This window comes from Homo sapiens, chromosome 1, assembly GCF_000001405.40.
Source record: "Homo sapiens chromosome 1, GRCh38.p14 Primary Assembly".
Taxonomy (NCBI): domain Eukaryota; kingdom Metazoa; phylum Chordata; class Mammalia; order Primates; family Hominidae; genus Homo; species Homo sapiens.
In genome coordinates this window covers 183,285,517-183,302,309 of record NC_000001.11, presented here as the reverse complement: position 1 = coordinate 183,302,309, position 16,793 = coordinate 183,285,517, and the positions used below count along the sequence as shown (strand labels likewise).

Below are 16,793 nucleotides of genomic sequence, written 5' to 3'. Positions count from 1 at the left end.
GGTATCTTATTATTTCAGCAAAGTATATGCTGTGGCCCGCATCAAAAACCTGGGCTCCTTGGAGATGTGAATTGTGTCTTTTACTTCTCTATGTCCCTTATAGCGACTGGGACAGAGCCTTCAACATAATAAGCACTTATTAAATGTTTGTTAGGGAACACTCAAGGCTCAGTTTAGTAGGCCACAGGGATGATTCCTTAAAGTTTTTTTCTTAACTCCTAAGCAGGAATTCTAAGAGGCACTCAAAGCTTGATTTCTTCCTTTATCATCCAGCACTTGGTCTTCCTAAAATTTAGAATGTTTACAAATCCAGACAATCTTTGGGAAATTTACAAACAGGGAAAATACAGGCAGCTCCAGCTGTGACTACAATTCAGAAGGGGTCATTTCTAATTGCAGCTGAAAAGGAAAAATGGAGTTAGTGTTGATGCTGTGACCACGGTGGAAGAAACACTCTTCCATTAACTCCCTAGAAGGAAGGAGTAGATTACACATGTCAGCCAGGTTCACTGAGTAGCCAGGAGGATATGTGTGTCTCATGAATTTTTATTAATGGGTAAATCACTCATATTGTGTCTGTCCTTGGCTGGACATCCAAGCATCCAGCACAGGCTATAAGGAAGGGAGATTTACCTGGTTCCAAGTGGCCTGGAATGAGCCATGAGACACAGTGGACCCTCAGGGTCCTGAGGACAGGATGTGGCAACGGTCATGGAGTCCTCCTCCATGAGCACAGGAGCAAAGATGGTGACCAAATGCAGAGCGGGTCTGACTTGCATGTCTAATGTTAGAGTAATTTGGCTCCTTCTTTGGGGCAGAACTGATGGACAAAAATAGACCTCATTTTGGGAAGCCTGGCATGAAATTAAATTCCAGGGCCATAGCTACAGCTTTGCCAATGGGCTGGCTTTCTACTAATGTGCAGAAATGCCCTTGTCATGCAAGTTGGAGATGGTGGTGGAGTGGGGAAGGGAGGAGAGCCTCTTTTGTGGGTATTCTAACATGGCAGGGGCTGCTCCACCTGTCTTTAGTCGCTTGCTGTTTAAAATATAATCTGCAGACCTGCAGCCTTGGTCTCATTTGGGAGCTTGCCAGAAATGCTGAATCTCAGGCAAAGCCTGGGACTAGGGTGAGAGATGGCCTCCTCTAGTGCAAAATGTAAGGAGGTGCCCCCAAACTCAGTAATCAAAATAAACAATATTTTAAAATATCAAAATCACTGCAAAAAATCCTTGATAAACAAAATATCAACATTTTAAATAAAGGCGAGATCTGACTCAGCACTTAAACAATCCTGCCCCACTTATCTCATGCCAATCTTGACTCTGATCTCAGGTTCCATCCCAGACCCATAGAATCAGAATCTATATTCTAAAAAGACCCCCAGAGGATTCATATGCACATCAAAGTTTAAGAAGCACAGCTTTAGACAACACAACCCACAATGTAACAAACCAAAATCTTCTAATCTAGACAGCAGCAAAGCTGGAAAGGTATGAACAGAAATAAAGTTTCAGAAGCATCTAACTCCTCCAGCTTGCTTGCCACTGCCTGGGTTTGCACACCACCACCTTAAAATTGCAGTGTTCTATAATTTATCATGAACATTTCAAAAACTTTTTTTCTGAGATAACTATAGATTTGCAGGAAGTTGCAAGATTAATACAGAGAGATACCATGTACTCTTCACCCAGTTTCCCCTAGTGGTTACTGACTTAGTCCATTTGGGCTGCTGTAACAAAATACCTTAGACTGGGTAGTTTATAAATAACATAAATTTATTGCTCACAGTTCTGGGGGCTGGGAAGTACAAGATAAAGGCTCAGGCAGATGTGGTGTCTGGTGAAGGCCTGTTCCTGATAAATGGTGCCATGGTGCCTTTTTTTTTTTTTCTTTTTTTTAGATGGAGTCTCAGAGTCTGGCTCTGTCACCCAGGCTGGAGTACAGTGGTGCAATCTCGGCTCACTGCAACCTCTGTCTCCTGGGTTCAAGTGATTCTTTTGCCTCAGCCTCCCAAGTAGCTGGGACTACAGGCACGTGCCACCACGCCTGGCTAATTTTTGTATTTTTAGTACAGACGGGGTTTCACCATATTGGCCGGGCTGGTCTCGAACTCCTGACCTCATGATACGCCCACCTCGGCCTCCCAAAGTGTTGGGATTACAGTCATGAGCCACTGTGCCCAGCCTAAATGGTGCCTTCTATGTGTCCTCACAAGGAGGAAGGGCAAATGGGCTCCCCAGGCCTCTTTATAGGGGCTGTAATTCCATCCACGAGGGTTCCATCCTCATGACCTAGTCACCTCCCAAAGGCCCCATCTCTTAATAGCAACATGTTGGAGATTAGATTTCAGCATATGAATTTTGGAGAGACAGACATACAGACCATAACAGTTCTATTTTCTATAACTATAGTAGAATATCGAAATGAGAACATTGACATTGGTAAAAGGTGTATGTATAGTTTATATGTTATCTTATCAAAAGGGTAGATTTACAGAACCAACACAAGTAAGCTATAGAACTAGCCCATTACCACAAAGATCTCCCACAAGCTACAGCTTTACAGTCATACCCACCCCTTTCCCTGACCCACCATCCCTAACCCCTGGAAAGCATTAATCTTCTTAACACCTTTAACACCTTTTTTTTTTTTTTAAGAGACAGAGGTCTCACTATGTTGCCCATGTTGGTCATGAACTCCTAGGTCAAGCGAGCCTCCTGCCTCAGCCTCCCAAAATGTTGGAATTATAAGCATGAGCCGAAATGTCCAGGCTTTTAAACAACTTTTTGACCATGTTATATAAATAAAATCATACAATAAGCAAACTTTTGAGATTGCCTTTTCTTCACTCAGAATAATGAACTAAAGATCCATCCAAATTCTTGCACATATCAATAATTTGTTCCTTTTTTTATTTTTTTATTTTTTTTTGAGACAGAGTCTCGCTGTGTCACCCAGGCTGGAGTGCAGTGGCGCCATCTTGGCTCACTGCAACCTCCACCTCCCAGGTTCAAGCAATCCTCCCACCTCAGCCTCCCAAGTAGCTGGGATTACAAGTGTGTGCCACCCACCATGCCCAGCTAATTTTTGTATTTTTAGTATAGACGGGGTTTCACCAGGTTGGCCAGGCTGGTCTCGAACTCCTGACCTCAAGTGATCCACCCACCTCTGCCTCCCAAAGTGCTGGGATTACAGGCATGAGCCACGGTGCCCAGCCAATTTGTTCCTTTTTATTGCTGAGTAGTACTCCATGGTATGGGTGTACCACAGTTTAGTTAACCATTTACCTATCGTAGGACATTTGGGTTGTTTCCCGTATTTGATTATTACAAATAAAGCTGCTATGAACTATTCTAGCTCCTATAACTTTCCATACACATTTTAGAATTCTGTTGATATTAACACTTTAACAAATCTTGTTGTGATTTTGACAAGAAATACATTAAATTTCATATCATTTTGGGGAGAATTAGCATCTTGACTGTGTTGCATCTTCCAATCCATAACATAGTATGTCTCTTGTTGTTGTTGTTGTTGTTCCTAACCACTAGACTATGCCATCCAACTCAATAGAAGCATGATCACCCAAATAAATTCAGGATTGTCAGCATCTTCTGCTACTTGTTGTGGCGCTGAATTCAAATATATGTTCCTGTGTTCACAGAGGCAACATAGATACAGTGCATATGGGAATAAAGGGTTGAAGGCATCCTTGAAAAGGACTCTCAGTTAAGATTTAAAATGCATAGGTCTCTACATTTATTTAGATCTTCTTTGATTTCTTTCATCAGCATCTTGTAGTTTTTAACATACAAGCCCTGTATATGTTTTATTATATTTATACCTAAGTATTTCATTGAATTGATTAACATTTGCTTTGTATTTTTATTTTGATTTTGTTTGTTGCTAGCATATGGAAATACAATTAATTTTCTTATGTTGATCTTGTAACTTATGACCTTGTTGAGCTCACTTATTAGTTGCTGGAGTTTCCTTGTAAATTTATTGGGATTTCTAGGTAGATCATCAAGTCATCTACAAATAGAGACAGGTTTTTTTATTTTCCTTTTTTTATCTGTATGCCTTTTATTTCCTTTTCTTGCCTTATGGTGTGCACTAGAACTTCTGGTTGAATAACAGCAATGAGAGCACACTTCCTTCCTTGTTCTTCATTTTAGGGAGAAAGCATTCAATCTTTCACCACTAAGTATGATGTTAGTTGCAGGTTTTTGCAGATGCTCTTTGTCAAGTCGAGGACGTTTCTTTCTATTCCTATTATACTGAGAGTTTTTGTCATGAATGAATGTTGAATTTTGTCAAACGCTTTTTCTGCATCAATTGATAGGATCATGAGATTTTTCTTTAGCTTGCTGGTGGATTACATTGAATGATTTTTCAAATACTGAAAAAACAGCCTTGTATCCCTGGAATATACACCACTTAGTCACAGTGTATAATTCTTTCTATATATAGCTGGATTCTATTTGCTAACATTTGTTAAGGATTTTTGAGTATTCAATCATAAAGGATATTGGCCTGTAGTTTCTTCTTTGTACTGTCTTTGCCTGGTTTTGATATCAGGGTAATACTGGCTTTATAAAATAAATTGAAAAGTGTTCTTTCCTAGGCCGGGCATGGTGGCTCACGCCTGTAATCCCAGCATTTTAGGAGGCCGAGGTGGGCAGATCACCTGAGGTCGGGAGTTCAAGATCAGCCTGACCACATGGAGAAACCTCGTCTCTACTAAAAATACAAAATTAGCCGGGGATGGTGGCACATCCCTGTAATTCCAGCTACTCGGGAGGCGGAGGCAGGAGAATCGCTTGAACCCGGGAGGCAGAGGTTGCGCTGAGCCGAGATCACGCCGTTGCACTCCAGCCTGGGCAACAAGAGCGAAACTCCGTCTCAAAAAAAAAAAAAAAAGGGTTCCTTCCTTTTCTACTTTCTAGAAGAGTTTATGTAGACTTGGTTTTAGTTCTTTATGTGGAATTCTCCAGTAAAACCACTTAGCGCTATGCACTTTTACTTTCGTAATTTGATTTGATCCTCACAACAACTTTGCAAAGAAGGCATTTTACAGAAACAGTTTCCAGGTCCCTTGGACTGCACTGGATACACAGTGAGATTAGTGAGGTGGCCGGGAAATAAGTCCAGAGCAGGAGGCTGTTGGGCAGGGAAGGCATGCTAGATGTGGGGTAGGGTAGAGCTGGGTTTGAATGAAGTGCTTGGGAAGTGAAGAGTTAGAAGGCACTATTTGGAGGACAGGGAGAGTAAAGAAGTTCTGGCTTATTGCAGCAGAGGGTCTGTGACTGCCAAGGGCCAGATAGAAATGACCCCGAAGAGGAGCGGAGTGTGAAGGTCCAAGAGAAACAGGGAGAGGCTGTGCAATTTCTTCAAATATCAGAATAGATTGTTGCAAGGCCTTTAATTTGGCCTCAGAATAAGATCTGAAAACAAGTGAAGTACTACAACTCTTTTAAAAAGCAAATATGGGGCTGGGTGCGGTGGCTCATGCCTGTAATCCCAGCACTTTGGGAGGCTGAGGTGGTCAGATCACCTGAGGTCAGGAGTTCAAGACCAGCCTGGCTAACATGGTGAAACCCCATCTCTACTAAAAAATAAAAAAATTAGCTGGGTATGGTGGTGCACGTCTGTAATCCCAGCTACCTATGAGGCTGAGGCACAAGAATCACTTGAACCCAGGAGGCGGAGGTTGCAGTGAGCCAAGATGATGCCACTGTACTCCAGCCTGGGCAACAGAGCTAGACTCCATCAAAAAAAAAAGCAAATGTGACACACTTATCAGAGTGACACACTTATTAAAATCCAAATAATGCCAAATGCTGGTAAGAATTTGGAGCAACAGAAAGTCTCATTCATTCCTGGTAGGAATATAAAATGGCACAACCACTTTGGAAGACAATTTGACAGCCTCTTAAAAAGCTAAACATAATCTTACCATATGATTCATATGGCTCCTTGTGTAGATTCCCTAATTTACGTCTTCACAAAAACCTGCACATGAATGTCATATCAGCTTTATTTATAATCACTAAAAACTGGAAGCAGCAAAGATGTTCTTTGGTAGATGAATGGATAAACTGAAGTACTTCCAGACAATAGACTATCATTTAGTGATTAAAAGAAATGAGCTGCCGGCCGGGCGCGGTGGCTCACGCCTGTAATCCCAGCACTTTGGGAGGCCGTGGCAGGCGGATCTCCTGAGGTCAGGAGTTTGAGACCAGTTTGGCTAACATAGTGAAACCCCATCTCTACTAAAAATACAAAAAATTAGCTGGGCATGGTGGTAGGCGCCTGTAATCCCAACTACTTGGGAGGCTGAGGCAGGAGAATCGCTTAAGCCCGGGAGGCGGAGGTTGCAGTGAGCTGAGATGGCGCCACTGCACTCCAGCTTAGGGGACAAGAGCGAGACTTCCTCTCAAAGAAAAAGAAAGAAATGAGCTATCGAGCCATGAAAAGACATGGAGGAACTTTAAATGCATACTGCTTAGTGAAAACAGCAAGTCCAAAGAGGGTACATACTGTATGATTCCAACCATATGGCATTTTGGAAACGTCAAATCTATAGAAAAAGTAAACAGAACCGTGGTTGCCAGGGGTTTGGGAAAAGAGGAGGCATGAATGGGTGGAACACTGAATTTTTAGGGGATGAAAATACTGGGTATGATACTATAATGAAGGATACAATTGTCAAAACCCACAGAACTCTACAACACAGAGTAAATCTTAATGTAAACTATTGACTATAGTTAATAATGTGTTAATAATGATTTGTCAAGTATAACAAGTGTGCCACACTAGTGCAAAATTATTAATATAATGGGGGAAACTGCATGAAGGGAGGTAAAAAGGTGGGAGGGGTCTGAATATATGGAAGTCTATGTACAATCTGCTCAATTATTCTGTAAATCTAAAACGGTGTTACAAATAGTCTATTCATTTTTTTTTTAATCTAAGAAATTTCACATTGAAAGAAAAAGAAGCAGCCAAGTGCCGTGGCTCATGCCTGTAACCCTTGCATTTTGGGAGGCCAAGGCAGGCAGATCACTTGAGGCCGGGAGTTTGAGGCCAGCCTGGCCGACACGTGGAACCCGTCTCTACTAAAAATACAAAAATTAGCCAACCATGGTGGCTCATGCCTGTAATCTCAGCTACTTGGGAGGCTGAGGCATGAGAATTGCTTGAACCCAGGAGGTAGAGGTGGCAGTGAGCCAAGATCGCACCACTGCACTGCAGCCTAAGTGACAGCGTGAGACTTTGTCTCAAAAAACAAAGAAAGAAAGAAAAAGAAGCAAATATGGTGAGATCTTTTTTCAAGTGTTAAGAAATCCAGCAAAGTAATTCTGAAAACTTGCTTGTAAACTACACAGCCAGCTTTGCTGCCCAGGCCGCCTTCTACTTAAAAATTCCTTCACTATAAACTCCATGCTAGATTTTTCCTCAGTGGAATAAGCTCAGGCCCTGTTGACAATTTTTGTTTTGTTTTGTTTTGTTTTTAGATGGAGTCTCCCTCTGTCACCCAGGCTGGAGTGCAGTGGCACGATCTCAGCTCACTGCAATCTCTGCTGCCCGGGTTCAAGCGATTCTCCTGCCTCAGTCTCCCGAGTAACTAGGATTACAGGCGCCTGCCACCGCGTCTGGCTAAGTTTTGTATTTTTAGTAGAAAAGGGTTTCACCATGTTGGCCAGGCTGGTCTTGAACTCCTGACCTTGTGATCCACCTGCCTCGGCCTCCCAAAGTACTGGGATTACAGGTGTGAGCCACCACACCCGGCCCCTGTTGACATTCTTAAAAGGAATTGTTTTGGAAGTAAGATAGAACCAGACTTTTCAGTCCCTTCCTTGTTTGCCGAAATTTATTGCGAAAATAAAATTGGGTTTGTCTGATAGATTTGAAAAAGCAATATTGCATACCTTCCAAAGGATAAAAGGCTTTTATCTGGCCAAATTTTTCGTCTCAACCAAGTCTAAGATGGTGGTCTTCTGGGTTGATTGCTAATTCTTTGTAATTATCTACAAGGCCCTTTAAATTTGTTTTGGTGGTTTTTCTCTTCTGAATAATTAGATGAGGCAATCAGCACATCTTTCATATTATAAGGAGGCTTTTATTTATTTATTTTTTAAATACTACTCCTCCACATTATAACTCCTGCAAGTGACAATAGGGGTAAATTCCAATCTGTAGCTCTAATGGCTGCTAATGAGGCGCTTGTTTTAAATCCTTCTGAGCTACACTGGCTCCTCCCACAGAGGACTTTTAAAACAGGATGAATCTCCTTGAGTTCTAAATCCTTTTGCTTTGGGGGCTGAAATCTGGTTCTGTAACCTTTTGAATCACCAACATTTGCTTTGAAAGTTGACATTTTCTATTTAAATGGCAAGAGAGATGGGAAATAAACCCCAGCATTACAGAGCTGAGCGTATTGATTTCAATTATCACCTTTAATCCATGCCTTTCCTCTTTATAATGTGTGGGTTTCTTCTCTTAATTAGAAAGAGCCAGGGATTATCTGCACAAAACTGGAAGGTTTATTGTGATTGGCGGGATTGTCTCCCCTGTCCACGACTCCTATGGAAAACAGGTGGGTTCCTTCCTGTGCCCCTCTCCTCTTCAATCCCCGTCCCCCCATCCCTGGCCTGATAGTTCCTGGCAGAAAAACTGCCCCCGCTCTGTCTCTGCTAAGATTCCTGGAAACACAAAATGCCCAGGTCCATGCGTCTATCCTGCTTCCCATCTCAGGACCACAGTCGGACCTGAGTGGATGGGCGTTGAAGCAGTAGCTGGAAAGACCAGCTGTCCATGACCGTAGAGCCACTTACGGGCTGGTCAGGACTCACTGAAAGAGGAGCAGAAACACCCACTGGGTGTGGCTTGGTATGGTGGATGCCAGATTGGCAGCTGGTTATGGGTTGAGCTGCACTGGGCAAGTCTTCTCAGGATTTTAGGAGAAAACGGCCTATGCCTTTTATAATCTGATTTAAAATTCATATCCCTGCTCATCCCTCCCTGCCACGTGTCCCGGCAAATCTAGGAGCTCCACCCATCATTCCCCCTTTCTCCCACAGATGCACCTTGGTGGGCTCTGGGGAAACTCACCTAACCAGCCAGACTGAGCCATAAGACAAGGCCACATTTGCTGAGTTAAGTCTCATCTCTGCAGGGCACACAGGGGCTGCTTCGCAAATGGAGGCTCATCTATCGACCTTGTTGGGGTGGTATATACCACACACCCTTTATTTGTTTCCTTTCCCACCACCATTCCAGGCCTGCCTGTGTGGCAAACGGACAAGTAAAGGGGTCACATTCTTCATTCCCTCTCACCACTGAAAAATGGCTGCACTTTAACAATGGGTGGGCTTGGGCTGGTATCCCAAGGATGTTGTGGGGAACGGAGGGAGTCTCCCAATGATTGCTCTGTTGCTTCCCAGGGCCTCGTGTCAAGCCGGCACCGTCTCATCATGTGTCAGCTGGCCGTCCAGAATTCTGATTGGATCAGGTAGGACTGGCCTGAAGATGCCAGAGGCAGTGGCCCGGAGACTTACTGGGAGTGGGGTGGGGAAAAAAGAAGAGTTCCAGCAGTAATTTGGATCCTGAAAGGATGGGGAGGCAGGGGCAAGATATTAGCCTTGTGGAGGCAATAAGTAGACCTCCAGGGATACCTATAACTTTATTTTTGAACCAAACTGTGAGGCCCATGAATGTAAAGAATGTGCTTGAATGTTTCATCTGCTTTGACATCTCTGAATCCTGGCATGATTCTTGGAGCTTCCAGAAATATCACTGGGTTTTGGGTGAAGCATGACCAGAAAATCAGAAATGCCTCTCACTTTCATTCCCACTAACTTCCGCGAACCCTCACTACCTTTCAGGGAATGTTCCCTCACCTTGACAATTTCCCATTCCTGAACTCAGGCTCCCTAAGGGCCCCACACTGGCCCCAGGAGACAGGTGCGGGCCTGCCCCTAAGGGCAGCCACACCAAATCACACCCACTGGGTGGCTTTCCTGCTCACTGCCTTTCTGGCCAGACGTGCTGCTAGGAAGGCACCTCCACCCACCTCCGCTGAGCTTGCAGTGTAATTAAAGCAAGCTTCCACTAATTATGCTAATGATGTTCCCCAAAGTTCTTACCGTTATAATTTGCATGATAAGATGATGTTTTAAAAAAATAATGGCATGCCATTTGTGCTGTAATTTCCCCCACTATGGAAAAATAAGCAGCACCTAGAGGTTTCCATGAAAGGGGCGAAGTGACGGGATGCTGACCTCAGAATGAGGAATGCAGAGAGTTTGCCCAGGAAGAGCGGGGTGGGCGGGAATGAGAGCAGTGAAGGGAAGCCACAGTAATAATTCAGCAGTGATCCTTGCTATTTGTGCGCAGTGATTTGTGTGAGAAGCACATGCCCTTTATAGACTTTCTTATCCCCCTAAAGATAAAGCTTAGGTAGAGAGACAGCTGCTTTTTCTCAGGTGAGAAACAGGCCCAGAGAAATGAAAGGGCTTGAGCAATGATACATTGATACACCCGTAGGCAAGAAAGGATTAGAAATGAGGCCTCTTAACATTGTAAGTCCTGATCTTCTGGGGATGCTGGGGACCTTGAATAAGGGTCCAGTGAGGAAATCACTGGGCAGGAGACTGTTACTGCTTGGATGTGCTTAGAAGATTCTGGAATAATTCCCTCATGCATTCCACAACTATCTACTGAGTGCCTACCACCTTCCCTGGGCTGCTCTAAGTTGGAAAATCAGAATCCTGAGAATTGAGATCACTAGGGAGTCTAAGAGCTGCCTCTAGAGATGGGGTTGGCTGGGGTGGGGCGCCTGACACTGGGATCCCATTTAGCCAGGTGAAGTGTTTGTTTCCGGCACAGGTGCGCTCCCAGGGCACAGGGCCTGGCTAGGGATCTAGGGGGAGCCAGGGTCCCGGCAAATGGCAAGCTGACTCTCTAAGGGTTTTCAGCTAGTGGGATCTCATCTCTGGGCACTTTAGGCATGTGTATGTGGTGGGGTGGTGGGGTAGGGTGGTGGTGTTAAGGGGATGCATGACTGCTAAGAAAATGTTAGACAAGGCAGGGCACGGGGGCTCATGCTTGTAATCCCAGCACTTTGGGAGGCCGAAGTGGGCGGATCACCTGAGGTCAGGAGTTTGAGACCAGCCTGGACAATGTGGTGAAACCCCATCTCTGCTAAAAATACAAAAATTAACTGGGCATGGTGGCATGTGCCTGTAGTCTCAGCTACTCAGGAGGCTGAGGCAGGAGAATCACTTGAACCCAGGAGATGGAGGTTGCAGTGAGCCGAGGTCTTGCCACTGCACTCCAGCCTGGGTGACAGACCAAGACTCTGTCTAAAAAAAAATCATTAAGTTGGCAATTAAGCCCCAGTGCTGCCTCAGTCTGGGGCTGGATCCCTGCTTACGTCACAAGCAGTATCCCGGAGGGGCTGGCCATTGTTGTGTCTGCGCCCTCTCATCTGACTGTCATGTCTCACCTCCACGCCCACAAGGCACCTCACTGCAGAGGGAGGCAGGGAAGACTGATTCTCGAGGGTTTGCAGCCTGGCAAGGATAACCTGGGCCACCACTTGACAAAGGCCTGGCTCAGCTAATCCTTGTCACAATCCTCAAGGGTCCAAAGGAGGGTTTATTTTGCAGGTAACAATAAGAGCAAGATGCTGTACTGAGCATTGTACACATAAAACTTACCGAGCCTTTCTAACAAAACTGTAAGCTCGTTACTATTGTTATTCCCATTTTACAGATGGGGAAGGTGAGGCACTGGGAGATCACATAACTTTCCCAAAGCCACACAGTTGCAAAGAGCTGAGGCTGGAATTAAACCCAGGCAGACTGGCACCAGCATCTCTTCTCATAAGCCTATGCCATGCTCCTCTCATTTTACAGAGGAGGAAACTGAAGCTCAGAAGAGTGTTTCACACCCAGGTTTTATCTGATTCAAGATCTAAGCGCATGGTATGGCCAGATCTGCCATGCTTCCTGAGCTATGATTTTTGGAAGGTAACAATAAGGAAAGAATATGAGAACAGAAACCAAGGGAAACTTCTTTCCGATGATGTTAGGGTGGACCCTTGGGAGTGCTACCAGGACACCTGGCAGACGACCTGCAGCGTGTTGGAACACCACCGGGACCTCATGAAGGTGAGCTGGGCCAAGCCTGGGGATGCGTGAACCACCAGAGTGCAAGGGCGGAAGGGGCTGGACCCACAGAAACCAGGCAGGGAGAGGAGAGGGTGCTGCTGGCCTATCGACCTGCTTTCAGCCTCTTATTTCTCTGCCGGTTGTGAGAGAGACCAGCCTGTGAACAGCATGAAGAACAATGAATGAGGAACCCCGAGTAGCACCAGGGTCTGTTCCCTGTCTTCCACCCTCTGTCTTGACCTCCCATTTGGGGTGTTGCTGCTGGGTATGGTGGGCAGCTTTTATTAGCTGGGAGCAAGTTCAAGGTGGGATTAAGGAGACCACAGTGATAGGACTTCAGAAAGTGAGGGAGGAGGAAACTGGACAATGAAAGGCAGGAGAAGAGAGAAGCACTTAGGGGAGGTACAAGCAGCCTGTGGGGGCCCCACTGGCCCCCTTACTCCAGGACAGGCTGCTGTGGCTGGGGCACTTCACACCTGCCAGTCATTGCACCCCATTCCCACCCATTCCTCCTCACAAGAGCCCCACAGGCAGATGGTGTCTGATGCCTGTTTTATTAGTGGGTAAAAGGGATCACAGAGAGGAGTCCACATATCTGAGCACACACAGTGAGTGTTTGGTGAACACAGATAGGCGAGAGCTTCTGTATTCCCCATTGGGGCCTGGGGCCTGTGGCCGGGCTGCAGAGACTTCAGGGCTGGTTGCCAGGTTAGAATGGGCTCCATACCAGCCAGCAGCACTGGCCAGAGTGTGCAGAAAGCACCCTTCCCAGATCAGTGCCAACCCATCCACTCCACAGTGACAGGATGAAAAGCAATGCCACCGATGGCGAGAAGCCTGACCAACCAAGACAGCAAACAGTCAATTCTGCTCGCCTCCACGGACTCTGCAGCAGAGCCCTCCGCAGCCCCAGATAGCAGTCCACCTGGCACTGCCCTCCTACAGGGAGAGCCCATGTCCCATCTGTGTCCTTGCTGCCAGAGGGCCTGTCACCACGTTCTTCCTGGGGAGCAGCCCCTGACCACCCCACACTCCACCAGCTGCAAAGCCAGGCTTTATTTTAACAGATGTGGCGCTTCATTGCTCCGTCCTGGGGAGCTAAGGGCAAGTGAGGTAGAGAGGACCAGCTGGCTGTTCTCCATCTGTTGTTTTCTTCCCCACGGAATTGAAGAAAACTGATTTCCCTTCCCTTCAGCTTTCAGAACCCTTCTCACATATCCTGACCCTTCTGGTCCCCTTCAAAGGAGGCTGACTTGGGGCCACACTGACTTGCTCCTCTGTGCTGGTCTCCACAATAGCAGTAATAAAAGACACTGTGTAAGACTGTATCAGTCAGGATAGGCAAAGACGTGCTGTGGTGACAAACATCCCTAAAAGCTCAGTGACTTCACACAAGTTTATTTCTCACACTACATGTCACCTGGGGAGTTCCTGCAGTCCTGTGCTCTTTCTGGTCACACAGAAGCCTCAGGCTCCATGACAGAAGAGAGGAAAGGGGACCCTGCAGGCATTCCTCAGTGCTGGCCATACTGGCCAGAAAGCCTGGCTATCATTTGATGTCTAAATGCCCGGGCTTCCTGAACTCTCCCTGTGTTACTTATGCCCAGGGTATAAGTCTGGGCCAGAGAAGCTCTGCCAGGAACCCCAGCTGTTGCAGCGATGGGCAGAAGCTGGCAAAGAATGTAGGTCACTGCCGGCCCCCCTGTCTTGGAGCAAGAGCTTGGAGCTGCTTCCTAAGAACTCTCAGCCTTCAAACACCTAGCAAGCATGAGGCAGGTGTTCCCTGCATGGAGAGTAGACCTGCCGCAGAGATAGATGCATGACTTAACAGGTGACTTGGGACAACTCTCCAATATCAAGGCCTCTGAGAATGCAGGAGCCCATGGGGGCTGACGAGGGCAGGATCGGGGAATGCAGCCAGCCATTTTCTACTTCTCAGAGATAGAACAAGTCAAATGCGACCCACAGTGCAGCAAGAGGAAGAAGCTCCTCAGCTACCAGGCCAATCAGGAAATAGAAATGCAGGGTTTTCTTTTCTGGTGGTGAAGTAATAAATGGAGGCAGACCATCCCTCCCACCCCACCAGCCACAGCTGGGTGAAGAATCCCACCAAGAGGTGAAAAGATCCCGTGGTACCCACCCCAGCTGGCTCCCAGATGTGGTCAGATGTGACCTCCTCCTATCAGGAGTCTTACAAAGGTGACAGGTTACCCCACAAGACAAATGCTGCCCTTCTAGGGCTCAGAAGGACTCATACACTGCTCTGCCCACAAGATGGCCTGTGGAAGAGGTGCCCAGAAGATCACCCCAGCCTTGGGCCTGGGGGTCCCCTGGCAGCAGAACCCAAATCCAGAAAGGGTAGCGTGCAGGAGTGGGTGGTGGGTACCCAGGCAGCTGGCTTTTGGAAACGAAGAAACCTTGAATAAGCAGTGGCCCCTGTGAACCTAAACAGATTGGGAATTTGTCCTTTGTTTCTCTGTTGCCCAACAGCTACTCTCCCCATCACCTTGGCCCAGTGGGATTGCTTCTGGGTCAGCTGTGAGGAATGCTGCCTTATCAGCTCTGTGTTTTCTGCAGCACTGGTGAGGAGTAGCCTGGCAGATAACTCAGGACAATAGATAATACACACAGAATTTCCACTTGGCTCTGTCATGTGTATTCACACTGAGCAGGCGAGAGAGTGCTCAGAACCCACCCACCCTGCTTCCCGCAGCACAAACACATCCTGTGCTGCCTGGCACCACTCTCCCTCTTGCTTGGCTGTGTTACTGACAGCTCTGGCCCAAAGAGGCCGCAGGTGGTGATCGTGCCTTGTGTTTGTATGACCTTTCCCAAGCTTACAGAGCCCTTTTGCAGACATGATCTCATTTGAGCCCCATGAAGCATTTGGGGAGGGCAGATATTCATGTTACACAGAAGGTTCCAGCATCGCCTGCTGCTGACAGAGCTCCTGCCATGGGTCAGGCACCCCATAGGCACTTTGCATATGCTCGCTTGTGTGACCCGACCACAACTGAAAAAGACAGATATATGGTTAGACTCCTGATTTGAGGTTCAGGAGCGATGAAATAACTGTCCAAGGTCACATAGCTAGAAGGAGGCAGAGCCCAAATTTGGACCCAGGACCCATTATAACACCACATCTCATGCTTCTCCCACTGAGCTGCTCCTGCCAGCCTAGTGACCACATGATGCAGCTGGGTCTAGAACCCATCCCCAGGGCTCTTCCTCAGCTCTGGGTGGCCTCTCCATGATGGACAAGCAGATGACCACTTGGAGATAACTTTGAAACGATTCTCAAAGTCACATGACTAATAACACTCTTCTCTCTCTCCCTAGAGGGTGACTGGCTGCATCCTCTCCAATGTCAACACACCTTCCATGACACCTGTGATCGGACAGCCACAAAACGAGACCCCCCAGCCCATTTACCAGAACAGCAACGTGGCCACCAAGCCCACTGCAGGTAGGGGAACACTGATGTGTGATTCTCAGACCTCAGAATCATGTGGAGGGCTTGTTAAATTAATGACTACTGGGATCCACCCAGAACTTGATTCAGTAGGTCTGAGAGGGGAAAGAGGACTTGTATTTTTAATAAGGTGCTGCTGATGCTGCTAGTCCAGAGACAATACTTTGAGGACCCTGAATACTGAGCATAAGAGCAAACCAGTCACAATCAGAGAGAGGCAGGTGGTGGTGTGCACTCTTCTCCTGCATTTAAATATAAACGTAGGGCCGGGCCTGGTGGCTCACGCCTGTAATCCCAGCACTTTGGGAGGCTGAGGTGGGTGGATGGCTTGAGCCCAGGAGTTTGAGAGTAGCCTGGGCAACATGACGAAACCCCACCTGTACCAAATAATAATAATAATAATAACAATAACAAAAATTAACTGGGCATGGTGGCACACACCTGTAGTCCCAGCTACTCAGAAGGCTGAGGTGGGAGGATCTCTTGAGCCCAGGAGGAGGAGGTTGCAGGGACTGGGGGACTGTGCCACTGTACTCCAGCCTGGGAGACAGAGTGAGACCCTGTCTCAAAAAAATACATAAATTTTGAGAAATAATTGTGTTAACTGGGAATTGAATATACAAAATGGAGCATTTTTCTCTGCCTCTTCTAGGGAGGTTGAGGATCTTGCCAAAGGTCACACAGTGAGCAAGAAGCAGGGCCATGAGTCACACCCAGGCGGTCCGCACCCAGAATCCCCACACTCTTAGCCATCAATCCAGTGACAGAGAGCACCAACACATACCCCAAACCTAGGACTATGTGCCCAAATGATGCTCGTGCTTTACCTGCGTTCTTATTTAATGCAGTAATACTGTGATATAGACATTATGTTCTCATTTCAAATAGAATACAGATTCAGAGAAGAAAAGTGATTTGCTGATTTGTCACACAGCTCAAAAGTAGAAGAGCTAGAATTCATATTCAGTACTGTCAGGCTCCCAGGTCCATGCTCTAAAATTTTCTTCAAGCCAACTCCAAGAGACAGATTCTGATATTACTTTTCAAGCCTGGAGACCATAAGCTATTATATTATTGGTCTATTATAAACAGGGTAATTCACAAAGAAGAGTCAGAATTTCACAGTTTGCATACAGCTA

The 16,793-nt window shown here is 46.4% G+C and overlaps 1 protein-coding gene across 2 annotated transcripts in view; it reads left to right on the top strand.

Moving 5' to 3' along the window:
* Nucleotides 1–16,793, top strand: part of NMNAT2 (nicotinamide nucleotide adenylyltransferase 2) — a 170,144-nt gene that overhangs the window by 116,071 nt on the left and 37,280 nt on the right. For both annotated transcript variants that reach the window (NM_015039.4, NM_170706.4), the window contains exons 2-5: nt 8,517–8,605; nt 9,453–9,520; nt 12,104–12,182; nt 15,522–15,648. In NM_015039.4, coding sequence (NP_055854.1) covers nt 8,517–8,605; nt 9,453–9,520; nt 12,104–12,182; nt 15,522–15,648 — 363 coding nt within the window. The remainder of the gene's footprint in view (nt 1–8,516; nt 8,606–9,452; nt 9,521–12,103; nt 12,183–15,521; nt 15,649–16,793) is intronic.